We start from the raw sequence: 27,415 nt of genomic DNA, 5'->3' as shown, positions 1-27,415 counted from the left end.
AGACTGCACAAAGCAGCCAGGCCCTGAGCTCAGCCTGTTAAACCATTTTTTCTCCTCCTAGGCCTCCAGGCCTGTGATGGGAGGGGCTGCCATGAAGACCTCTAACATGTCTTGGAGACATTTTCTCCGTTGTCCTGGTGATAAATATTTGGCTTCTCATTACTTATGCAAATTTATGCAGCAGGCTTGAGTTTCTCCTCAGAAAATGGGTTTTTCTTTTTTGTTGTTTTTTGAGATGGAGTCTCCCTCTATTGCCCAGGCTGGAGTGCAGTGGCTCAATCTCAGCTCACTGCAACCTCTGCCTCCTGGGTTCAAACAATTCTCCTGCCTCAGCCTCCCGAGTAGCTGGGACTACAGGCGTGCACCACCTCACCCAGCTAGTTTTTTTGTACTTTTCGTAGAGACTGGGTTTCACCATGTTGGCCAGGCTGGTCTCGAACTCCTGACCTCGTGATCTGCCTGCCTCAGCCTCCCAAAGTGTTGAGATTACAGGCATGAGCCACTGTGCCCAGCCTGGGTTTTTCTTTTCTATCACATTGTTAAGCTGCAAATTTTTCAAACTTTTATGCTCTGCTTCCCTTTTAAACATAAGTTCCAATTCTAAACCATATCTTCGTGAATACATAAAATTGAATGCTTTTACCAGCACCAAATCACCTGTTGAATGCTTTGCTGCTTAAATTCTTCTGCCAGATTCTGTGAATCATCTCTAAGTTCAAAGTTCCACAGATCTATAGGGCAGGGAGAAAATGCTGCCAGTCTCTTTGCTAAAACATAACAAGAGTTGCCTTTGCTCCAGTTCCCAACAAGTTCCTCATCTCCATATGAGACCACCTCAGGACTTTATTGTCCATATCACTATCAGCATTTTGGTCAAAGCCATTCAACAAGTCTCTAGGAAGTTCCAAACTTTCCCACATCTTCCTGTCTTCTGATCCCTCCAAACTGTTCCAACCTCTGCCTGTTACCCAGTTCCAAAGTTGCTTCCACATTTTTGGGTATCTTTACAGCAGCACCCCACTACCCAGTATGAATTTTCTGTATTAGTCCATTCTCACACTGCTAATAAAGACATACCTGAGTCTGGGTAATTTATAAAGGAAACAGGTTTAATGGACTCACAGCTCCACATGGCTGGGGAGGCCTCACACATGGCAGAAGGCAAAGGAGACGCGAAGGCATGTCTTACTGGCAGCAGGCAAGAGAGCTTGTGCAAGGGAACTGCCCTTTATAAAACCATCAGGTCTCATGAGACTTATCCACCATCATGAGAACAGCACAGGAAAGGCCCACCCCCATGATTCGATTACCTCCCACTGGGTCCCTCCCAGGACACATGGGAATTATGGGAGCTACAATTCAAGATGAGATTTGGGTGGGGACACAGCCAAACCATACCACACCCCAACAACTGTGTTTTACAGAGAGAGTTAAGTGAAAATCTTTTCTTGAAAATATTCATAGGCCCATGTTTTCACTGGGCCGGGGGAAATCCTCTTCATGCGTGCCAGGTTCTGCAGTGATAAGTCCCCCTTTCTTTCTTTCACCCATGGTGTCTATTGTTTCAAGCAATGTCTGGAACTAAAAACACCCAACTTGTCGGTCAGAACATCATGTGTTCCCCACATGGAAACCTGTATCTGCAGAGCTTGCTTTAACTAATTCTACTGTGCAAACATTAAAAACTGTGCTAGCTCTGCTACACTCAGCAATTAGAATCTAGTTTTTCTGACAGGCCTACTGAGATTTTTCTTAACTACAAAGCTTCCATCCTACACCTTGAGAGGAAAAATTGAGGGCAGAAGGGAAGGAAAATTTTGCCTTTCGGCAGCTTTCCCTCTAAAGTTAATGGTCAGCTTAAAAACACAATTGCCATTCTTCTACTATGCAGTAAAAAGGCTGCACACATTCAGTGCAACTCAATGCAACTACATGGGCAAAGGAAATCACTGGAATGGTTCACCGGGGCTGCTTCTGCATATTTACCCTTGCTCAATCTTTTTGTTCAATACTCAGCCTTGAGTTTGCCTTCCAGCGCTATCTACCTTTCAGCACTGAATCCAGAGTCTGCTCTTCTAGGCACTCTAATTTTCTTGCATTTAACCTTTAAAAAATTGACAGTTTTTCTCCTCTTTACAATTTTATGACTTTGGAGTCCATAAAAGCAGGAAATAAAATGCCATTTTCTTTTTCCAAATTAAAAAAAAATCTGAAAAGAGAACAGAAAACGAATTGTTGGACTGTCAAGATCTTCCATGTGAAGACATTGAATAATGAAATCAAAACAGATAATCAAGTATAGGTCAATTCATATTTGCATTCCAGCATTTCTTTAAAATAATATGACACATGAGGATTTTCTGCAGATCTGAAATGCCTCTTATTTTTAAAATCTTCTAAAACATATTTTTAATGTTTAGCCATTGTTTAATGCATATTGCCTTGCAGAGGAATGTCATAAAATATAAGAATAGCTAAGAGTTATGACCTTTAAATCATTATTATTCATTACATTTGTTTGAAAATATTGTAAAAGGTTTTCATACACTGTATCACTCTGTGAATGCTGGATTCAAGTACTCAGCTGCAGGCTCCATATCAAGCAATTAGAATACATATAGTATAGACTAGCTATATTTAGACACATGGTCAGTTATAATGTAAACATGGAAAATATATTTGAAATTAAAACTTGGAAAGTCTTAGAAAAGTCTGGATTTTCTAAAACACTCAGTTATCCGTGAATGAAAAGATTCTGTGTATGTGTGTAGCTCTGTTTTCTAACAAGCCATTTATTCTAAGCAGAAGTCCTGTCTCAATGTTGGACGGTTAATTAACAAGGATGAAGGCTCTGCTCGGTACCCAGTGCTCCCAAGAGCCCTTGCAGGGGACTCTGGTCAACTGTTCCTGTCAGACTTCAGCAAGTTAATAGGTAACTACTTCTCTTCTCATTTTTCATATTTTCAAAAATCACTCTGAGGAAAGATCAAAATATCATGCTCAGAACTATTAATATTCTAAATGTTAAAAATCAGCAACATTAATGAACTTGTTATATGGAACAACATATTAATAAACTGAGCTCTAGACATGGAAGAAACTAAGTCTTCAGCGATATACATTTTCCAGTGATCTGTGCACATGTGTAATTAACATGTTTTGGTCATGGTATCAATGTGTAAAATCATAGAAGATTAGCATTTGAAGGGTAATTGGAGCCTACACACAGCACGCACATGCTCACATGCATGTCCACATGGGCACCCTGCATTACCCTCCCCAAGGAAGAAACCTTCCTCCAGTTGATTTTCCATAGAATTTTTCCCAAATGAATCTGTAGGCCCTTAGTAGTGGTAACTAATCAACCCCTAGGCATTGTCTTCTCCAATGCCACTGCAACCTCCCCTGCCTGATCCCCCCAGCCCTCTCACCAATTAAAAAACCACCTCTCGGCCGGGCGCGGTGGCTCACGCCTGTAATCCCAGCACTTTGGAAGGCCGAGGCGGGTGGATCACAAGGTCAGGAGATCGAGACCATCCTGGCTAACATGGTGAAACCCTGTCTCTACTAAAAATACAAAAAATTAGCCGGGCGTGGTGGCGGGAGCCTGTAGTCCCAGCTACTCGGGAGGCTGAGGCAGGAGAATGGCGTGAACCCGGGAGGCAGAGCTTGCAGTGAGCCGAGATCGCGCCACCGCACTCCAGCCTGGGCAACAGAGCGAGACTCTATCTCAAACAAAACAAAACAAAACAAAACAAAACAAACACACCTCTCAGGAACATTAATGTTGGGGGGTAAAACAAAAACAAAAATAAATTAAAAAACCCCACCTGAGACATAGGAGTCTAGGAACCTAGAAAGACTTAAGCTATTGGTGAAGAATGAATTTGCTGCGACACTGGTGAGGAAGGATCTGAGATCAATTGAACCTAATGTTGCACGTGCTCTTGCCATGACTTTGTTGCAATGATGACATGCTGCTAAGGAAAGAAAAGAAGTTCTATAACTTTCCGTCATTCATGAATAAATCTCTCCTATTACGTGGTGTCAGCTAATTTTTCTTGGTGTCAATGCCTGTTTTCTTTGTGCCTTGTTGCTATTTTTAAACAACACCTGATTATAATGTTATTCTTACTAAAAAAAAAAAACAGCTCCTTTATGCTCCAAAGAGTTAAAGAAACATAACACCTTTTCTTTTAGCCGGGCCATGGGAAGGAGGTGGTGAGCCTTTTGCGACTGTGTAGGGAATGATGAGCGGGGTCCATTGAAGGCCATTCCCCTGATCTTTCTTAGCTGTGTATGGAAGGGAGCTCTTCCTAGATTAGCTGCCTATGGAAGGGAGCTCTGTCCTAGATTAGCTGCCTATGGAAGGGAGCTCTTCCTAGATTAGCTGCCTATGGAAGGGAGCTCTGTCCTAGATTAGCTGCCTATGGAAGGGAGCTCTGTCCTAGATTAGCTGCCTATGGAAGGGAGCTCTGTCCTAGAAAAATCTGCTGGCTTGGCAGAGGAGCTGCTATTGAAATAAACTGGTTACCAAGTGTTTATTATGTTTTATGTTTTCCTCTCATCATAATCCTTCGTAGTGTGTTTAAACAATTAATTGCCACAATATCCAGCCTTCTGAAGCTGAGAAAGGGGCCCCGGGTACACTGAAAGAGCTATGAGCCCCTATTTGGGCAAGAGGGAGAAGAGGTTTTTTGCTGTTGTTATTTAATCACATATTAACTTTGCAGTTATTAAGTGTTTCCAATTTAACATGAACAACCAATTGTACTTAGAGAGACATATTAGGGTATTATGAGCTTTTCACACCCTGTGTACTCAAGAGTCACGCACTGTTTCTTGTTGGGGGCAGAAGGTGTGAGGCAGTGCCTCGTGGGAACTTTCTTAGGTGAAGAAAAGGTTAGTAAACTTTTCCCTGTAAATAATTCTCTCACATAGCCTAAGTTATATTAGTATGTAATAGTCAAAATAAAATACCATCTGGCTCTATCTTCGCTTTCTACTTTATGTTCAGAGTAATTCAACTAAGCCGAAAAACGGAGTTTTTCAAGCATACCCTGCACTTTTTGCCAATTATGTTGAAAATATGTATTAGATGCTTAGTCTGCACGTCATACTTTATTTCATGTAATCTTCACCTTTATTAGGTAGGAACTATTATTATCCTCATGTCACAGATAAGGAAAATTGAGGCTTCAGGATTTAAGTGACTTATTCAAGGTCATTCGATTAGCAAAGGGGGCAGGGACAATGTTTCAACCCAAGCAGTCTGACTTCAGAGCTCTTTTATCTATTGGTCGGTCTATCTGTCTATCTATCTATCTATCTATCTATCTATCTATCTATCTATCTATCTTCTATCATCTAATCTATGTATCTTTTTATGTATGTATATATCTATCTGTATGTATGTATCTACCTATCATCTAATCTATGTATCTACTTATGTATGTATCTATCTGTATGTATGTATGTATCTGTCTATCTACCTACCTACCTACCTACCTACCTATCATCAGTCTTCTAGCTAGCTACCCAGCTGGCTATCAGAGTATGGGGAGGTTTGCTCCCTATCTTACATATGACAAGCTATTCTCAAATGTATAGTAATCCTTATTTCTTAGGTCACTAGTAAAATTTAAGAACAAGATGCAGACAACTTCTCAGAAACTCCCTGTACCTGGGTGAGCTTGTTGACTGATGGGCCTCACTATACACTGATTAAGGAGCCAGTCATTTTCTTGGTAGATTCCCAAAATCAATATCCAAATTTCATTCCTTTTGAGTTATTCTTTTCCCTGAATGATATTATCTAGGGTGCCAGTGTTCAGGGTTCAAGTGCAAGGGACAGGGCTGTCACTCTTCAGGATGGAGACACCAGTTTCATCCCTCTGTGTTCAGCAGCACCTGACACTCCCCTGGGGCAGTGCCTTACACCTACACACAGCTTCTCTGAATGAGTGTCTGCAGAAAGCAAACCTTGCTTCTGCCAGGATGAGGAGAAGCAATTTCCCATGACTGCATGGAATCAGGGAGAGTACTTGGGAGCCTAACACAACTTCTATGCAATCCTATTGCTGTCAGCTCATCCTTATCTAGTATTTGGAGGGCTTGGAGGTGCCTCCAACCTTGACTTGTGACCAACAGTCAAGCTTTGAAGATTTCTTTCTCTTAAAATGTGCTTCCAAAGGACTATAAATCATGCTGCCATAAAGACACATGCACATGTATGTTTATTGCGGCACTATTCACAATAGCAAATACTTGGAACCAACCCAAATGTCCAACAATGATAGACTGGATTAAGAAAATGTGGCACATATACACCATGGAATACTATGCAGCCATAAAAAATGATGAGTTCATGTCCTTTGTAGGGACATGGATGAAATTGGAAATCACCATTCTCAGTAAACTATCGCAAGGACAAAAAACCAAACACCACATATTCTCACTCATAGGTGGGAATTGAACAATGAGAACACATGGACACAGGAAGGGGAACATCACACTCTGGGGACTGTTGTGGGGTGGGGGGAGGGGGGAGGGATAGCTTTAGGAGATATACCTAATGCTAAATGACGAGTTAATGGGTGCAGCACACCAGCATGGCACATGTATACATATGTAACTAACCTGCACATTGTGCACATGTACCCTAAAACTTAAAGTATAATAATAATAATAATAATAATAAAAAAATGTGCTTCACTCAACTCCTACCAGTGTCTTATCGTCAAATACCTCCTCTCCCTTCAAATACACCACAAATGCTCCATGCTCCATGAAGCCCCAGTTCTTTTTTCATTCCAGTGTTATCACTTTGTGTGAAATGTTATATTCATGTTTAATTATGCCCCACAAATTCCATACCTTTTCAGGACTAAGTTTGACAAATGTTCTTCATGCTTCTGTAAGTATCTAGTAAGAAACATTCAGCAGCACATTTTGCATCAGAATAACAATAGCCAGAGGATAGTTCTTGACGTGTTCCCTTCATTTGGTCATTATTGCATAAGAAGAAAAACCTTTCCTAGATTATACATTTTTCATAGCTTTGCTTCATAATTAATTAATAGTTAGAAAGAAGTTAAACAAATTAGATAAATTTTGTAATGTGTAAGTGCCTACTTTGGGTTAGACACACATCAATGCTAATTTTCACAACCACCGTGCAAGACTGGTTTTTTTTTTTTTTTTTGGAGGTACTATTATTATTATTTTTTTATTATACTTTAAGTTTTAGGGTACATGTGCACAATGTGCAGGTTTGTTACATATATATACATGTGCCATGTTGGTGTGCTGCACCCATTAACTCGTCATTTAACATTAAGTATATCTCCTAATGCTATCCCTCAAGACTGGTATTGTTATATCCATTTAACAGCTGATGGAACTCATGCTTGGAGAGGTTAGGAAGTTTGCTCAGTAATGATCATTTATATTTACACAACATATATGTAACAAACAAATCTTTGTGATTATTATTATCCAGCTTCTACAAGTGAGAAAAAGTCTTTGGAACAGCATTTCTCATGATGTGTGAAACAGGTCCCTGAGACGTGTTTAGGGGTCCCCAATACTGTTTCAAGGCCTTGGTGAGGTCAAAGCATTTTAATAAGGAGACGTTGTTTGCCATTGTTGCTCTCATTCTCCCGTGGGCACGCAGTGTTCTCCAGAGGTTTCACGAAGAGTGACTATGCGATCACTCTGACAGCCAATGGAACGTGTGCCTGTGTATTCTTGTGTTTAAAAAATTTCTCAGTTTAAATTTTAATATGCTATATATTGACAGAGATAGTCAACATATATATAAACTCCTGAAGCCCTCAATATTTTTTAAAGTGAAAAGGTATCCTGAGACCAAGAAGTTTAACATCTGCTGCCTTGAAGGAATATATTCCTTATATTCCACGAGGAATACAACTGATTTCTAGTCGAAATGAACTGACAACACAGATATTCTGTGGTCTTCATAGTAGACTCTGCTTCTCACATGGTATTCATGGTATTTTTGGATATCAGAATCTTCGCAATTTTAGCAGATATTTAACTTTCCTGGAGGATAGCCTTTATATATCCAATAGAACAATTTTGTCAATTGGTAGTCAAATTATATTGACCTAAGTTAGTAAACAATTTCACCTGAAGACCTACAGATGTCTCTTTTCAATGGCAGATGCATTCAATATTATCACAGAAATTCACCTGGAATCCAATTTACTTTGGGGCATTTGATATTGTAGAATTTCACTATGTGGCCAATAATGATGTCTGTACAACATACTTTGATTTGCGGCCTCTTGTTTGTAGTTGGCTTTTACTAAACAAAGTGACTTCTTGGGAAGTTAATCTCTTTGATATTTACAATATAGAAAAAATCAAAATTTCTTACAAAGAGTCTTTGAAAAGCCTAGATATAAGAATTATTAAATCCTTGTAGGTTGCTGCCGGACTGATGATTGGAAAGCTACCTAGAAAAGCTGCCAAATTGGGCATTTTTGCGTATGATACATGCTAGAGAAAATTTTGCAAAGAGTATTTTTTTTAACCAACTGGACTTTAATCTAAGTTTCTGTGAACCACACACTGTTTTTCTAGACATTCAAGCTTTACTGTCCTGGAAATTATGATGGCAATTTTTCTCTGAGTTTTAAGTGTATATTTAGCACTAGAAGACTCACGATAAATTATTAAGATTTTACAGAAATTATCATTAATGAGATGTTGAAAAGATTATCTCAAACTTCAGGTTTTATTCTAGGGATCCAACATTTTGACTCAGAAAAGATTAAATTGAGAGTTTAAAAAAATAAAATGCGATTTTTTCAAAATTCCTTAAATCAAATATCTAACAAGTGAGTACACTTTCCAACATCCCAGCCATTTTACTTGCACCAAGTTTCCTAGAGTGCATGAATAATACTGATTGCTGTGGTTGAATCGATTGTGCAACAATCCACATTGATCATGAAGACAGCTGAAATGAGCAGACCAGCCACGGGGCAGTTTGTTTATTTTACGTATATAGATATAGCTTTAATTCCCAGCACAGAAGTCTCAGAGAAATATTCCTAATACAAATATATTTTTTTTGACTGAATACACATTAAAGGGTCATTTTCTCTCATGCTGTAGGGAACAAGTGCTCAGGGAAATGGTCTCAGCATGTTGACACTGCATTTGAGGTTTGTAATGAAGTACCTTATTCTCCACCCTACGGGTTAGAAACTGGACTCTGGTAAGTCCACACAGAGAAATGATCTGCAGGTGTTATAGTTAGGAAGGAGAGATCCATGGTCCTCCTAATGGGAATAAAATGCCCCCAGCATTGTAATTATAATGCTTTCTGAATTTTTGTAATTTGTTTTCTCCACATTTAGTTTCAAGCAAGGCTTGAATTACATAAGAGATAGATGCTTCCAAGAAAATGTCCAACTAAAAGCTCTAGGTCTCCTCTAAAATGTTCTTGGGTGAGTACAAAGTCTGTCAGTGGCAACTAAAACGAGGATTGAGTCTGAGAAAACAATTGGTGAAGAAGTGAGCAACATTTGCTGTCTGCAATCAATATTTGTGAAATATGACGCAGGTAAAATTTGAAAGAACATTCATCAAGAATTATGAGAGAAGTTCCACATATTAAAATGACTAAATCCCAAGATGCAACCTTAATCCATTAAGTGTTTTTTTTGTTTTGTTGTTGTTGTTGTTTTCTTTTAAAAAAAGACTGTAGAATCCAGTTAACACAAAAGAACTTGGACAGAAGGACTGGAGTTTATAAAAATGAGACTTGGCTTTCGCTTTTGTGAGCAGCTAATTTGAAATACTGTAACACTTTTTAGGTGAGTTTACTATGCCACAATTTCTACGAAATCTCTAGGCTAGATAGTCACCTTCTTTCAACTATAACCTTTCAGAGCAAAACGACTTATTTCTACTTTGTCGCCTACTATTGTTATTTTCTTTGAACTTGTAGTTGGCCAAAAGTTTCTTAATTGTTCTTTCTATAAATGTTGGGTTTTGATTTCATTTTGTGTCTAATTGGCAAATAAGGGTTGCCTGCTATTTTTCTATAATCTTTTTTCTTAGCAAAAAAAAAAAACATGAAAACATCACTTATTTGTGTTCATCAGGGTTCATCAGTTTTCTAACACAAACACTTGATGTTTTCATTTGTGCCATGGTTTCTAAATAGATCAGTGAATCGCATTAGAAAAGTGTCCCTTTTTAGAAATCCTCTTGTTCCTTCAGTGCTGGACGGGTCCCCTTCATTACTGGGCATGCCAGAATTCTTTAAAGTTCTTCTGGAGTAGTCAGTCATCTACAAGGAAATCTGACTGGGAGCTTGAAGTCATGTAGAAGGACTTCTTATTTTTGACTCTGTATCAGTGCAAGTTTACTCTTATGTTGTCATATTATGTGGGAATCTTTTTGACAAAAGTGTCAACTTTTCAGAGAGACTTTTTTAAAGAGTGAAGTCAAAGCTGCTCTGACAAATAATTTCCTAGTCGTTCCATATAACTCCGAAAGAATTTTACATGTGTGAAGCTTACTTCATATCTACCATTATATTTAGCACAATACTAGCTGTACAGCAAACAGGGCATGGGAAGCAGTAAACCATTAGTAAATTGAATGTGTTTTAAGTATTCTAAATATATATACAGACACGAGGGATACACATACACAAACACAGTTGTAGGTCTGAAGTCTTCTCTTTTCACTGTAATGATTTTCACATTATTCAACAAAAATGATCCATCACTTACATGCATTATTTCTAATAGAATATACCTTATGTTACTAATGTCCTATAGACAGGGCACATTTATCTCCAATCAATAGCACGCAGGTGCTATAACTGGGTGCTGTACTCAGATATTAACTTGTGTGTGTAAGTTTTGCTTTGTTTTGTTCTCCTCCTCCAACCCCTACCCCCATGCACACATTTTAACCTGTCTGTTTCTTTCAGTCAAGAAGATACCACAATGTCTTAGGAGGGAGCAGGAAGAAAAGTCTAAGTTCTTTGAAGAAATCAAAGACTTTTCAGACGAAGCAGAAGAAATGTACAAGAGAATTAGCTCACCAAAGGAGTATCATCTTGGAGCTGCAAATAGGAGAAAGGAGCTGTTTCCCCACCACAAATTAGAAAAAAAAAATGTCTTCAATGGTTGAAGGGGAACAGAAAAGAAGAATATATATTTTGAGGTCCTGCATCAGGGGAAACCCAGCCCCAGATTTCTGGCATTGCTTCCTGGAGGCTGTGAGCCTCCAGGTGAGTGTGGATTCAAAGAGCAGCTGGCAGAGGGAAGTAGGGGCAATTTCAAAAAGATCTTGTCCCCATTGTAGCAGAGAATCTGCCAAAGCCGTGGACCAGGATGGGGCCGTGTGAGATGAGTCAACACCTGACTCACCCATAACATGGATACTGAGGACTCAGGCAAGCGTCCCTCCTCTCCACCCCGACACCCTTGACAACTTTAAGATGTAGAAACGGTCTGTAACACCACTGCATGGTGGGTAGAAGCCCTCAACCTGACGAAGCCTGTGTTCTACCAGTATTGTAAAACAAGAATTTTCTTTCTTTTTTTTTTTTTCCAAAGGAAGAAAGGAAGGAAGGAGAGAGGGAGGGAGGAAGGAAAGAGAGAGGGAGGGAGGAAGGAAAGAAAGAAAGAGAGTAAGAAGGGAAAAAAGGAAGGGATAAAGAAAGAAAAAGAAGGAAGGAAAGAAAGGAAGGAAGGAGGAGAGGAAGAACAAAAGTTCTCTGAAAAGTAATTTGGAGGAAAGAGACTATTCCAGTGAATAGTTTGCCTCCAGTTCAAAGTGAAGATGCATTCTCCAAACAAAAGTTTAACATCAGAAATTGATCTAGTTAAATAAAAAATTTATATGCTTACATTGTGGATTTTGGATTCTGACATTTCCATCTGGAGCAAGCATACTAGAGAAGAGTAATAGGATGTCTGAAGAATTTAAATAACTTCCTCAGGATGATAAAACTGATAAGTAGCAAAGCCAGATATGAATTCTGGTCTGTCTGACTTCCAAGATCCATGATCTGCTTACTATGTTTTCCTATATTGACATGTTTTACTATGTTTCTTATACTCCAGGATTAGAGCAATAGTCTTAGCCCAAGAAATGGAAGCCATCTGCAAAGACAGTACATGGACAGTTGTGCCTGGGACTAGGAGAGTGAATCTAATTTAAAAGGGGAGTGGGCAGTCTGCAGACCAAAATCGAATGCTCTAATTCAATTTACAAGTCATAAAGCTGATGATTTGAATTCTGCTAGATTCCCCCACTATTGCTTAACTGGATGAAAATGTGTAGGAAAAAGTGGTAGGGTCAGTACACCAGTACCCAGCTGCTCACTAACCTGCACACTCATGCACAAGATTTGAAAACAGAATTAAAAACAGATTAATGATTCTAACACTTATTCCTACTGTCATACCTCAACCAGATAGTTAAAAACAAGTATGATATTATATGACATTTATATATCTGTTAAAGACCAAGCAAATTCAATGCCTTTAAGAAGCTTATAAGATAAGGCATTCACGTCTCCTTAACTGTAGTTCTTAAGATCATACATTTTTTGCTTTATTTCAAGCTTATTTTGTATTTTATACCAGACTTTTTTGAAGCATATTCCTGGTTTATATTTCAGCACTTCCTTCCCTCCAGATTTTCTAGTTTGCATTTTTCCAGGCTGTTGTCATTTTTTGGTTGATATTTATTTCCTACCTTGGCAACATTTCCTTGTGTTAATATGACCTTCACATTTATCTTTGCACCATCTTTGATTTGAGTAGTCTCTATTTTGTTCACTGGATTGGATCAATAAGTTTTTAACCTATGTCTTTGGGGATGTGTTGATTGTGATTTCAAATCTCATTCCAGTGTTTTCTGCAAGACGCCTCAAATGAGAAGGAATCATTATTTTGGGAAGTGGTGATTACAAAGGGAATGGAGCAGTAAATGGACATTATATATTGCAGCATGGGCCAAGTCAAATAAAAGTCAGGAGGATGTATTTCTATTGGCATATTTATTTATAGGCATCAGAGCATACAGTCTGAAAATAATAATTACTGTCATAATATCCAACATTATTGTGTCAGGAATCTTTCTAAGGGACTTATCTGTATGAAGATATCTAATCTCTATAAGAACTCTAAAAATTAGGTACAATTATTAAGCCCCAATTTACAGATGGGAAAACTGAAACAGACGTCAGACAGCTAGAAAGTGGCAGAGCCAGAAGTCTCTTTTACATGTGTGTGTGGTGTGTGTGTGTGTGTGTGTGTGTGTGTGTGTGTGGTTAAAGGGTATGGTTAGTAAAATCACTGCTGAACCTTAATGAAATGTTACTTTTTTTTTTTTTTTTTAGATGGGGTCTTGCTCTGTTGCCAGGCTGGAGTGCAGTGGCCTGATCTTGGCTCACTGCAACCTCTGCCTCCTGGGTTCAAGCGATTCTCCTGCCTCAGCCTCCCGAGTAGCTGGGATTACAAGTGCGCGCCACCACGCCCAGCTAATTTTTATATTTTTAGTAGAGACGGGGTTTCACCACATTGGCCAGGCTGGTCTCGATCTCTTGACCTCGTGATCTGCCCACCTCGGCCCCCCAAAGTGCTGGGATTAAAGGCTTGAGCCATGGTGCCCGGCCATGAAATGTTACTTAAATATCAGATGACAAGATATCTCTTCCTGCTGAAAGGCATGGGTTCTTTTCTCTCCTCTCCAGACAGAATCTCCCCAGTTCTTCATGGGTAAGCATAAGAACCCTTCCCACCCTCCTCATTCTCCTTGCATGACAACTCATCCACCTTAGGTGGTGGCCACGATGGTGGGCTGACTGAAAGGCCAATACCTCAGTGACCCAGGCCTTCAGTTTCACTAGGAATGCATTTGTCTGAGTCTAGGCCATGAAAATAAGTAACTTTTTAAAGACTCCAATTGACTTGAGCAGTAAATCTAATTTTGGGAAGAATGTGGGTCAGACCATTTGCTAAAGTGACTGTGAAATCTACTTTGAAGTTCAGGAGCTTTGGAGGCATAAAACCTAGAAGGCAGATCTCAGCTCTACCACCAGCCAGTTGAGTGGCCCTGGACAAATATCTTCTTTAATATTCAGTTTCTTAAAGTGTTGGGGAACTGTTAGAAACAAGGCATAGAAGCATCCATCAGGCAGGTTCTCAATGAGCTTTAACTATATTTGTATCCAAAAGAAAAAAAATCCTACAGAAAAGAGAACATTTACAAATACTTGGTCTTAAAAAACATATTTCCCACACAAATAAAATACTTAGCATATTTTCCTGAGCCCACAGAATAACTAATATATGGTGACTGATAATATAATCGAATAGAATGGCTCAAACTAATGTTGAATTAATGAAAGCCACATATTGTAATTTACACATCATGGTCAGCATTAAGGAATTACAATCACAAACCTGTTTCAAGGGTCTTGTTCTGTTGTAGTGGTTCCCATGTTGGAAGTTCTCAATCCTGGCCGGGTGCGGTGGCTCACGCCTGTAATCCCAGCACTTTGGGCGGCTGAGGTGGGAGGATCACGAGGTCAGGAGATCGAGACCATCCTGGCTAACATGGTGAAACCCCGCCTCTACTAAAAATACAAACAATTAGCCGAGCATGGTGGCGGGTGCCTGTAGTCCCAGCTAATTGGGAGGCTGAGGCAGGAGAATGGCATGAACCTGGGAGGCAGAGGTTGCAGTGAGGCAAGATCGCGCCACTGCACTCCGGCCTGGGCGACAGCGCGAGACTCCGTCAAAGAAAAAAAAAAAGTTCTCAATCCTAAGGGTGCAAGGAGATAGCAAGAGGATTGAGAGCGCTCCTCTTAATGAGCCAGGGCTGCTATAACAAAATACCATAGACTGGGTGGCCTAAAGAACAGATACTTATTTCTCACAGTTCTGCAGTCTGGAGGGCTGAGATCAGGCTGCCAGCACTGTTGGGTTGTGGTATGGGCCCTCTTCCTAATTTGCAGAATGCTGCCTTCTTGCTGCTATGTTCTTACGTGGCTTTTCCTTGATGCGTGTGTTTGGAGAGAGATCTCTCTCTCTTCCTATTTTTAGAAGGCCACTAATCCCATCACGAGAGGTCCACCCTCATGATCTCATCTAAACTTAATTACCCCCCAAGGGCCCTAGCTCCAAACACCATCTCACTGGAGGGTCAGGTCTTTGACATGTGGAAGAGGGGCAGGATGGGGGAACCAAAATCTGCCGTCCATAACAGAGCTCTTATAGATACTTCCAAACAGTGAAATTGAGATTCATAAATTTACACTCCTTAAAGCAGCCCAGGCTAAGAAAAACCGCAAAATCGTTTGCTTCTGGCTGCGAGTTTATCAGCCATGTGTGGTAACAAATAGTTGTCTCACCCTGATCATGAATTTTGATTGATAGATCTGATTAATAAAGACAAAAATATTACTGAATGAAAAGCAATTTAATAGATAAAAATATTTCAAAATATAGCATCTTTGGTGCTGGAAGGAAATTATAGAATAATTTCAGGTCTTGATAAAAAGAATAGTGGCACCGATTGAAGCGGAAGAAATCAGGACATGCCCAGGACACGAGGGCTGTTTGCTCTCCTTGCGGCATGACTTTCCTAGCAGCACTTAACCCTGTAACAATAATTTTTACAATAAAATACAAGCAATTTCTGAAAGAGTGGGGGTATGTGACCGGTACAGTTTATAGATCAAGTTCTCAGGTAGCCTAGTAGGACATTCTCATCCTGTTAGACTTAAAATCAGTTTTAGAATGTAGGTGTTCCAGGGTGTCCAGCTTCCGCTGTGGAGATAGGCAGTGGGAGGGAAGGAATGGGGATGTGCAAGTACAACAGGGCAGGGTGAAGAGCGGCTGGGAGGCACAGCTGGCATACAGTCATTAATTAGTGAATTTCCTATTGCACGAATGAGGGAAGCCACGTCGGATTCAACAATGATGACTGCAGCACAGCAAGGTGTTCCAGCATAGTACAAAGAAGGGAGTATGTACTCGCCAGACACAGGAGTCGGAAAAAAGAGAGAGAGAGTTCAGGACAAAGAGCAACATCCCCATAAGGCTTTTATACCAGATAATCACGGCTGGTGATGGAGTATCTTGTCAAGTCAGTTCATAAAGAGTCTTGAAGTTTTCAGCTATATATGCAAGCAGAACAAAACCCCCGACCCCCTCATGACAAATGTTGACAGTGCTCCCCTAGTCTTTCTTGCTACTTGTGGAAAAGACTGGCTAGAACTACCCCCAGAAAAATGAGATTCTGACTTACTTTTGAAGACTTTTAGCAAAAAAAGATTTCTGTCTCCAATTCCCTCATTCAAAAACAGCTTTATCTGTTTGGCCCTTACAGTTTACAAAGTGCTTTTTATGCATTTTCTTATTTGGACCTTCACAACAGGTGAGGTGGGAGGCACGCACAGCTTCTTCCCATTACAAACAAGCAAGGGAGGCTCATCTGAAAACGTGGCCAAGATCAAGCCACCAATTAAGCAGAAGAGCTAGGTCATTCATACAGGTCTTCCAATTCCTAGCTCTTTCAGCTTAGTCATGTTGCCACTACATAAATCCTATCAAAAATTACCCTTTATTCCTAAACTATTGATCTCATGCAGCAATAAAAACTCAGTTTTTCTTGATCTATAAGAAATGAAGGGCTGAGCACAGTGGCTCACGCCTGTAATCCCAGCACTTTAGGAGGCTGAGGCGGGTGGATCACGAGGTCAGGAGGTCAAGACCAGCCTGACCAACATGGTGAAACCCTGTCTTTACTAAAAATATAAAAATCAGCCAGGCATGGTGGCACGCGCCTGTAATCCCAGCTACTCAGGAGGCTGAGGCAAGAGAGTCGCTTGAACCCAGGAGGCAGAAGTTGCTGCAAGCCAAAATAGCGCCACTGTACTCCAGCCTGGGTGACAGACTGAGACTCTGACTTAAAAAAAAAAAAAAATTAAGATAGATAGAAATATTATTGGCAGCTACCTGAAACAGTTTGTTGTTAAATCAACCCATTCTTTAAAAAAAGGATTAAAAATTATACAGCGTAACTGTGTTAATGCTTCTACTTAGGCCATATTTTCTAACTCTTTAATCATCTTAGGTGGGTCTCATTTCACCATCTAATTATCAGAATTTGTGGTAAGCAGATTTCCTATTTCTTGCAAAACAGCCTTTCACAATAAGATAACTATGTGTAGAAAAAATAAACAAGAACGTAACAGCACCTATTTCCTATGAAGAATGAGCAAGAGAACTTCTGACAGTCAGAAAGATCATTAAAATTCTTCTTTCACAATACAATGCAGTGAATTTGAAGTTAACAGTAAAAGAATGTGTTTAAATATAAAATAGTAAGAATAGTCTTAAAGAAATATTATTCTTATAATACATGCTTTAAAATTATAGTTCCTGTTTTCAAATGTTAAAATTGGGAATTTTATATTCTAGCACCACATCTTTAAACGTCTTATAGTATTGTGTGGTTAGATGAAATAATGCATATAAAACCATTTTAGAGGTATAGCACTATGAAAAGTAGGAGTTAAGAACAGTAATTGTGGAGTGAATGCATTTCCACATTAGCCTTGCACGCATGTATTTGTTTGTTTGTCTTATAAAGTAGGTATTATAATCTATAATTTATGGTCAAGTAAGTTGAAGTGCTAAGAAGTTAGGAGACTCCTCCAAATATCACACAGCTTTTTACTGAACTCAGGAAATGGACTCAAAATCCTTTTGTTTCACAGCTGGGACTTGTTCCATTTTTTCCACTTTCCCTTTCCATCTATTCCACATGATTCATGAAGCAATTTTCTACCATCCATCCAAGCTAAAAATGTAGATGACATTCAATTTTAAAAGTTTTAGTCCCTTTTGTCTCTTCTATGCTGACAGAATATACAGAACGCCCTTATAATAAGAAATTGCCTTTTTTACACATTCAGAATATTAAAACTCATGTGTTCACTCCATTCTCCCACACAGCAGCTATCATCTTTCACGTGTATGTGCTGGATTTTATTCTTTCCAGAAGGAGTGTAGTTTACCGTCTGTATTTAGCACTGTGGCCACCATTGCCCAGAACAGTGAGTTACTCCTGACAACTCTTGGAGAAAGGAAGCTTCCCCCTCCTCTGAAACTCAGATGGGATTCCAGTGTGCAGCCTGAACGCAGCTTGAAGAGCTTCCGTAGTTTACCATGGTCACTAGTTGTGTTCTCAAGGACTTGCCAATTTCGTAAGCCCTGAGTTGCCAAGGTTTGTTTTAAGAAGGGGTAGAGAAAGTAGTTTGGATTCTGAGATTGGTCAGTCACAGATTCGAGTCCCATTCTACCCTTCCACTTGCTAAGTGGAAATGGCTTAACTCCTTCAAAACTCAATGTGTCTAGGTGGAATATGGGACTCATAATTAGCGAATAGAACTCCTGTGAAAATTACAAATAGTGGAAGCTACTTAGCACTATGCCTAGTACAGAGCATGTATTTAATAAATTGGGGCTACTTTTAAAAAATAAATTTATGCTAAATGTTAGGTGGTAGACAGGCTGAGAAGAGTATCATATTTTTTATCAGAAAATTTGAGGATATTGGTGAGGTGTGGCGACTTGCACCTGTAATCTCAGCACTTTGGGAAGCCAAGGAGGGTGGATTGCTTGAGCTCAGGAGCTCGAGACCAACCTGGCCAACATGGTGAAACACCATCTCTCCAAAAATACAAAATTTAGCCGGGTGTGGTGGTGCATGCCCTGTAGTCCCAGCTACTGGAGAGGCTGAGGCAGGAGGATGGCTTGAGCCTGGGGAAGGTCAAGGCCGTAGGCTGCCGTGAGCCATGACTGTACCACTGCACTCCAGCTTAGGTGACAGAGTGAGATCCTGCCTCAAAAATAAAATAAAATAAAAAAAAGAAGCTTGAAGATGAGTTACTAATAGTTACATGGAAAACTAGGCAAACAAACAAGACAATTATTTACTTAGGAAAAACAAAAAAAAAATGGTATCTGACACTAAAATATGATCAAAGGAGACTAAGTCGTTCAGTTGTAACTTATGTTTACCTAGCAATAAAGATGTAAATTCCAATAAAAAAATTTTAGGTGGTAGAACTTTTACTTCTTTTGGGAACAGAGTACACAGAAAGCGTATATGTACAAAGACTCAAAATACTTACACCTCTAAAGGCAACTCCCTTCTTTAAGAATGAGTCTTCCTTTATATGTGTTTATTCCTTTAAAAATTAAGATTCTTTGAATGGTTCAGAGCCTAAACTACCAAGTTAGAATTCTGATTTAGAAGGGGCTTCCTGGCTGGGTGCAGTGACTCATGTCTGTAATCCCAGAACTTTGGGAGGCCAAGGCGGGCGGATTGCTTGAAGTCAGGAGTTCAAGACCAGCCTGGCCAACATGGCAAAACACCGTCTTTACTAAAAATACAAAAATTAGCTGGGCATGGTGGTGCATGCCTCTAATCCCAGCTCCTTGGGAGGCTGAGGCAGGAGAATCACTTGAACCCGAGAGGCAAAGGCTGCAGTGAGCCAAGATCGTGCCATTGCACTCAGCCCAGGTGACAGAGCCAGACTCTGTCTCAAAAATGTAGACTTCCTGACTTGATTAGCACTTCCTAGCTGTGTGACTTTGGGGAAAGTGACTTAAACTCTCTGAGCTTCAGTTTTATCATCTGTAGAAATAACGATAACAATAGTTTCTACTTCATAGGGTTATTGTGATGAATATAGTAATAAGGTATGTAAAGTGTGTAGAGCAATGCCGAACTTACAACCAGCATTCCCTAATGGTTAGCTGTTCATGTTGTGAACACAGAGTCAATTTCTCCTGTCCTTCAGAAAGAAAGATCACCCTCATCTCATCTGGTTTCTCATCATTTAGAACCTTTGCATTTCCTGGCTTTTTCCAACAACCTAAACAAAATATATATATATATTTAACTTCCCACTGTTTGCAGCCCTCTTCTCGGTTAGGGGAGGCTGTGATTTACTAGGGGAGGCAGCATCTTCTGAGCAGCTCGTGAACTGCACAGACAGTGGGACTCCAGGCATTCCGGTGCTAGGGGCTCAGTGTGGCCTGGGGCCACTGGGAAGGATGGTGTGGAGGATGTGGACAAAGAGTTGGCGTTGGCTCACGGAGGGCAGGGGCTCATTCTAGTCCCATGGAAATGCACAAAGAAGAAATAGGGTATATACCCAAAGGATTATAAATCATGCTGCTATAAAGACACATGCACACGTATGTTTACTGCGGCACTATTCACAATAGCAAAGACTTGGAACCAACCCAAATGTCCACAATGATAGACTGGATTAAGAAAAGGTGGCACATATACACCATGGAATACTATGCAGCCATAAAAAATGATGAGTTCATGTCCTTTGTAGGGACATAGATGAAGCTGGAAACCGTCATTCTCAGCAAACTATCACAAGGACAAAAATCCAAACACCGCATGTTCTCACTCACAGGTGGGAATTGAACAATGAGAACACATGGACACAGGAAGGGGAACATCACACACCAGGGACTGTCGTGGGGTGGGGGCAGGGGGGAGGGATAGGATTAGGAGATATACCTAATGCTAAATGACAAGTTAATGGTTGCAGCACACCAACGTGGCACATGTACACATATGTAACAAACCTGCACGTTCAGCACATGTACCCTAAAACTTCAAGTATAAAAAAAAAAAAGAAAAGAAATAGGACAAGCTTGTGACATTTGGTGGAAACCCTCTGCTTGAATATCCCACAGGCACCTCCAACTCTAAGTTGAGTTTCAACCTTGTTATTGTCCCAGCTTCCCTGTCCCAAATACTTACCCAGCTCTACACACACACACACACACACACACACACACACACACACACACACACACTCAGCTCTCCCAGCCTCACGGAGGGCCCAGCAGCACTCTGCATCCCATTTCCAATCCAGAATCTGCTAAATTACTCATGACTTTGCCCTGTTGTTGCTCGGGGTCTCCAGGTGATCACGAAGTGCTATTGATTCTCCTTCTAAATATCTCTTAAGTTTATCCACTTCCTTTCATCACAACTGCCACTGCCAACTCATGCCATGATCATTTTGTACCTGAATAATGAGGACAGGCTCCTGATGGTTCTCCCTAAATCCGGTCCCCATCCAGCAGCCAGAGTAAAGTTTCTCCAATACAAATCCGATTGTTCTTTTTGCACTTGAACAAAGTTGTCGCTATTTTTTGGGAGTGTCAAGCTGTGATGGAGGAACTGCACGCCCTCCATCCAGCAGGAGATACTGTCTCCCCCCGGCATCTCCATCCAGCAGGATATACTGTCTCCCCCTGGCATTGACACTGACCTTCATGGGTCACGCCACTTACCAGTGAGCAGCTTTCCATGGGGAAAGTGGAGCACCAGAACATGAGTGGGCTTCTCTCTCAACATCTCTGATATTTTCCTACAGGTTCTGGGATAGAGAACAGTGGATGGAGCATGTTTGAAGACAGGGCTGGCTAATGCCCTTCAGTTTGGCTAGTAAGAGCCATGGTGATGGGGCATTAAAATGCCCTTATTTGCACTCACTAGCAGGGAACAAACGGGGTATACACAAATATATAATTTGGGATTCAGTACTTCATAATTTATTTCATCTGCCTGGAATACCCTCCCATATCTGTCCCACCCATGCAATTCCTTATTTTCTTACAATAGCCCATTTCAAAGGATGCTTTCTCTGAGAAATTTTTCTTGACCTCATGGGGGTGGATTTGGGGACTCCTCTGTTCTATCACCTCTGTGGTTGTATCATGCAACTTTGATTTATGTGTTCTTGGTATATTTCCCACATCTGTTCACACCTGATACTCTAGAGATCACATTCCTGAGCATGGCAGCCGCTGCAAAGCTAAGACAGAGACTCTGAGAAGCTGGCCTAAGTGACAGGGAAAAGGATTTGTGTTAAGACTTGTGGAATGAGATTTTTCTGCTCCCCAAAACCTGCAGGTGTGTCTGCACACTGCGGAGAAAGAATGACTCGTCCAAAGGTGAGGCGGCAGAGCTTACAGAACATTTACAGCTTGTGTAGTGGCCCAGGAATGAGGGTAGACCTCTCCCCATCTGTCCCCGCCGACCACCCAGGACCTGAGCCACTTGAAACTTTTCGTCAAACAGGGTGAGCAGCGGCGGGGCACGGTGGCTCATGTCTGTAGTCCCAGCACTTTGGGAGGCCGAGGTGGGTGGATGACAAGGTCAAGAGATTGAGATGATCCTGGCCAACATGGTGAAATCCCATCTCTACTAAAAATACAAAAATTAGCCAGGCGTGGTGGCGCGCGCCTGTAGTCACAGCTACTCGGAGGCTGAGGCAGAAAAGTCGCTTGAACCCGGGAGGCGGAGCTTGCAGTGAGCCAAGATCGCACCACCGCACTCCAGCCTGGTGACAGAGCAAGACTCCGTCTCAAAAAAAAAAAAAAAGAAAACCAACTAGGTAAGCAGGAGATACGTTACATATGTGTAATGCTTAAGCAATATTTTGGCTGCTATCGTGTCCCAAATACATGCTCGCTGTTTTACCACACTCTTTCCTTTGACTTCATTTCCACTATAACTTCCTAACATAGGCATTTTATCCCCTTTTACGATAATGAAACTGAAGCTCATGGAAGTTAAATAAGTTACCCAAGTCACATAAATGACACAAAGGAGTTCTGAAACTCTAACTCACCTGCAAGTCCGCACTTGGTCACTGTGCCACTCTGCCCCTTTGCTTCTATTCTTCTATATAGATCTACAACTTTCTTTATACATATTCTTGTGCTAGAAGCAGTCATGGCTTATTTATCTATATACCCTAATCTTAGCAAAGTACATGGCATGTTGTAGGGAGCAAAACATATTTGATGAATAAATGAAAGAATGTAAGAATAATTTGAGAAAGTAGAATATCAAAAGGGCAGCCACGAAGGCAGCTGTTTGCCTGGGATTGATCTTGCCCCCGGTGTTCCAGGAAAGTGTTGATTTTGTCCTACTTTAATTGTCTGGTATTTAATGTGTCTATGGGCACAAGCAAGCCCAGGTGTTCACTCACCTGTACCACACACCCGAGCACTGAGAGAGGCCGAGCTGCGCACCTGCCCGTACCCCTCCTTCTCTGCTCTACTTCCTGACATTCTGAGGTTCCAGGATTTACCTGCTCATTCTACAGATTTTCTGTGAACATTAGTTGAACTGAAGGAAGGCACTGCAGCATGAAAGAAACACTAGGAGTTTTAAAACATAAAGGAAAGGAATTAGGCTATAAGCTATATTTGCAATAATTATATACAAAGCCAGGAGGAACATGCAAGTAAAAAATTACTGGGTATCTCAACTGATGGCAACTTTGCCTTAATTTTTCTGATTACTAAAGAGAAGGTGTCTATCGCCCACCTTTACATTTGTATTTTAAGGCTTTCAATACAGATTGCTAACTGTACTCAAGAATGTTTTACTAATTTATATTATTATATTATTGCTAGATGTGTATGTGATGTTCGTCTCTCCTCTCCACCTCTTACCCTATAGATTCTCAGGTTTGTATAAGATCAGAATTTATCTCTTAGGAAAAAACTTCATGTCTCATATAACCAATTGGTAAATACACATGAATAATATTTCCATGAAATTCCAAAAGTCTTTCTTTTCTCCCAACATTTAACAGAAGCCTTTTGCTAACAAACTTTAGTGCTTTTAAAATAAATGTTAAATACTTTTTAAAATCATCTTTCAATTATCTTTTGAATCTTCACATTTTCCTGACACAGGAACAGAGGGATATACGATCAAAGAAAGAAAATACTGTTGGTATTTGCTTTCTTCTCATTTGGGAATTAGAAAAAAATGTGTAGAAATATGCTAAGCATGTAAGAAACACTAAGAAATGTAAAGTGACATAGAAAAATATAATAATAAGCCAATAATTATCAATGCAACCCATGGAAATGAAGCTGCCCTGCATAGTAGGGGTGGGTAGCACACACCGATTATGGCTTCTGACACACACCAAGGGCCGCTGAGAAAGAATCTGGATCTGGAATGAATTTACAGCAGGAGAACAGATCATCATGGCGGACGGGAGGCAGGACTACATTGCAGCTCCCGACAGGGCAGCGTGCGGGGCTCGCATTGTGACTTTTAGCTCCAGATGGACTGCAGGAAGAAACCAGCAGTCCCGAGAGGACCCGCAGACCCTCTGAAGGAAGTGGGCTGCTCCTGCAGGACCCGGGAGACCCCCGCAAAAGTGTGAGTGCCCCAACTGCAGAAGTGGGAGAGGGAGACCCTCCTCTCCCAAACACACACCCCCACTGGGGAAGCTGAAGGTCTGCTTGCGGGAGAATTTCCAACTTTACCTGGAGCTGAGTCCGTCTGGGGAGCCCAGTGAGGTACAGGGGTAGAGGAAGCAGCGGAAAGGCCCGCGGAGCTCGCTGGGTCCCCGAGCAGCCCATTCCTGCTGGCACCACAGGGATCCATCGGGAGAGGAGGGGGTAAAACTCCACAGGGAGAAGGAAATCTCTAGCTGAGCGTTGTAACAGTTTGAACTGGGTGAGAATCCTCCTGGCCAGAACTAGGGCAGGGCACGAATCCGGGGTGCTGACTCCACAGGCGGGGGAAGAACCAAGCCTTTTTCTCTCGCAGCTGGGAGGCGGGTAGCCTGGGGCAGGTTTTCAGGCCTGTATCCCTCTCCGCCTGGAAACGGACTGGGGGCTGTTGGGGGGTGCACGGTGGGAGTGAGACCGGCCCTTTGGTTTGGGTGGGAGCTGGGTGAGCCCTGTGACTGCCGGCTTTCCCCCACTTCCCTGACAACCTGCATGACTCAGCAGAGGCAGACATAATCCTCCTAGGTACATAACTCCAGTGACCTGGGAATCTCACCCCCAGCCCCCACAGCAGCCGCAGCAAGGACCGCCCAAGGAGAGCCTGAGCTCAGAGGTGCCTACCCCACCCTCACCTGAGGGTCCTTCCCTACCCACCCTGGTAGCAGAAGACAAAGGGCATATCATCTTGGAGTTCTAGGGCCCCGCCCACCGCCGGTTCCTCGCCACACTACCACAGCTGATGCTCTCTGGAAAGCGCCCCCTCCCGGCAGGAGGCCAAACAGCACAAAAATAGAGCATTAAACCACCAAAGCTAAGAACCCTCACGGAGTCCATTGCACCCCCATCATTGCCACCTCCACCAGAACAGGCGCTGGTATCCATGGCTGAGAGACCCATAGGTCACATCACAGGACGTTGCAGACAAACCCCAGTACCAGCCCGGAGCCGGGTAGACCCACTGGGTGGCTAGACCCAGAAGAGAGACAACGATCACTGCAGTTTGGCTCTCAGGAAGCCACATCCATAGGAAAAGGAAGAGAGTACTACATCAAGGGAACAACCTGGGGGACGAAAGAATGTGAACGACAGCCTTCAGCCCTAGACCTTCTCTCAGAGAGCCTACTCAAATGAGAAGGAACCAGAAAACCAACCCTGGTAATATGACAAAATGAGGCTCTTCAACACCCCCCCAAAATCACACTGATTCACCAGCACTGGATCCAAACCAAGAAGAAATCCCTGATTTACCTGAAAAAGAATTCAGGAGGTTAGTTATTAAGCTAATCAGGGAGGGAACCGGCACATAGACCAATGGAACAGAATAGAGAACCCAGAAATAATCCCAAATACTTACAGTCAACTGATCTTTGACAAAGCAAACAAAAACATAAAGTGGGGAAAGGACACCCTTTTCAACAAATGATGCTGGGATAATTGGCTAGCCACATGTAGGAGAATGAAACTGGATCCTCATCTCCCCCCTTATGCAAAAATCAACTCAAAATGGATTAAGGACTTAAACCTAAGACCTGAAACTATAACAATTCTAGAAGCAAACATCGGAAAAATCCTTCTAGACGTTGGCTTAGGCAAGGATTTCATGACCAAGAACCCAAAAGCAAATGCAATATAAACAAAGATAAATAGCTGAGACTTAATTAAACTAAAGCGCTTTCACAAGGCAAAAGGAACTGTCAGCAGAGTAAACAGACAACCCACAGAGTGGGAGAAAATCTTCACAATCTATACATCTGACAAAGGACTAATACCCAGAATCTACAACAAACTCAAGCAAATCAGTAAGAAAAAAAAACAAACAATCTCATCAAAAAGTGGGCTAAGGAAATGAATAGACAATTCTCAAAAGAAGACATACAAATGACCAGCAAACATGAAAAAATGCTCAACAACACTAATGATCAGGGAAATGCAAATCAAAACCACCATGCCATACCACCTTACTCCTGCAAGAATGGCCATAATCAAAAAACAAAAAAAACGGTAGATGTTGGTGTGGATGCAGTGATCAGGGAACACTTCTACACTGCTGATGGGAATGTAAACTAGTACAGCCACTGTGGAAAACAGTGTGGAGATTCCTTAAAGAACTAAAAGTAGAACTACCATTGGATCCAACAATCCCACTACTGGATATCTACTCAGAGGAAAAGAAGTCACTATTTGAAAAAGATACTTGCACACTCATGCTTACAGCAGCATAATTCATAATTGCAAAATCATGGAACCAACCCAAATGCCCATCAATCAACAAGTGGATAAAGAAACTGTGGTATATGTATACGATGGAATACTATGCAGCCATAAAAAGAAATGAATTAACAGCATTTGCAGTGACCTGGATGAGATTAGAGACTATTATTCTAAGTGAAGTAATTCAGAAATGGAAAACCAAACCATTGTATGGTTCTCACTGATATGTGGGAGCTAAGCTCTGAGAATACAAAGTCATAAGAATGATGCAATGGACTTTGGGGACTTGGGGGGCAGAGTGGGAGGGGGCGAGGGATAAAAGCCTACAAATATGGTGCAGTGCATACTGCTTGGGTGATGAGTGCACCAGTGTCTCACCAATCACCACTAAAGAACTTGCTCATATAACCAAATACCACCTGTGCTCCAATAACTTATGGAAAAATTAAAAATAAAGAAGCAAAGTACAAACAAACAAAAAAGTGATTTACAGCATGAATGACGTTAAAAAAAAAAACCCCACAGAAACAAGATAAGAGATAAAAGGAGATGATGCACTATCTATTCTGTGTGGGAGGGGGAGGGGGAATAGAAAGAGCATGAAACAAGTCAATTAAGCAATTCTTTAAAAATTTCTGGATCCTCTCTCTCTCTCAAGACAGCCTTTATGCTCACTCTACTATTCGGGTTTTGCCTGTAGAAAACATCCTTGGGAGAAGGAGAGACACATGTGGTAGGTTTGCCTTAGGGTCTGCACTGCCGAGGGTGCTCTTAGCTACAGCTCATAGATCACAATGCAAGGGAAAGTCATGCTCTCTTTCAAA

The 27,415-nt window shown here is 41.2% G+C and overlaps 2 long non-coding RNA genes across 4 annotated transcripts in view, besides 1 other annotated feature; one reads left to right on the top strand and one right to left on the bottom strand.

Annotated features, from left to right (window-relative positions):
* LOC107983963 (uncharacterized) overlaps nucleotides 1-25,083 on the bottom strand; it is a 42,518-nt gene extending 17,435 nt beyond the window's left edge. The window contains exons 1-2 of one of the 3 annotated variants that reach the window (XR_939608.2): nucleotides 24,414-24,846; nucleotides 23,114-23,285 (exon numbers count right to left, since the gene is read on the bottom strand). This is a non-coding gene — a long non-coding RNA (uncharacterized LOC107983963). Of the gene's footprint in view, nucleotides 1-14,468; nucleotides 14,543-23,113; nucleotides 23,286-24,413 lie in introns of those variants that run through there. The other 2 variants (XR_939607.3, XR_939610.2) reach the window with 2 other exon arrangements.
* Nucleotides 24,227-27,415, top strand: part of LINC02492 (long intergenic non-protein coding RNA 2492) — a 139,764-nt gene continuing 136,575 nt past the window's right edge. The window contains exon 1 of the long non-coding RNA NR_110436.1: nucleotides 24,227-24,306. This is a non-coding gene — a long non-coding RNA (long intergenic non-protein coding RNA 2492). The remainder of the gene's footprint in view (nucleotides 24,307-27,415) is intronic.
* Nucleotides 24,363-25,562: an enhancer, noted in NCBI's record as "CDK7 strongly-dependent group 2 enhancer chr4:188592460-188593659 (GRCh37/hg19 assembly coordinates)". NCBI's record gives its function as "activates an origin of replication core promoter dependent on BRD2, BRD4, P300/CBP, MED14 and CDK7 cofactors, with strong dependence on CDK7, by STARR-seq in HCT116 cells {active_cell/tissue: HCT116}" and the evidence as "EXISTENCE:reporter gene assay evidence [ECO:0000049][PMID:35650434]".

The sequence above is a fragment of the Homo sapiens genome, chromosome 4 (genome assembly GCF_000001405.40).
Source record: "Homo sapiens chromosome 4, GRCh38.p14 Primary Assembly".
Classification (NCBI taxonomy): domain Eukaryota; kingdom Metazoa; phylum Chordata; class Mammalia; order Primates; family Hominidae; genus Homo; species Homo sapiens.
This window is presented reverse-complemented; position numbering and strand designations above follow the sequence as displayed.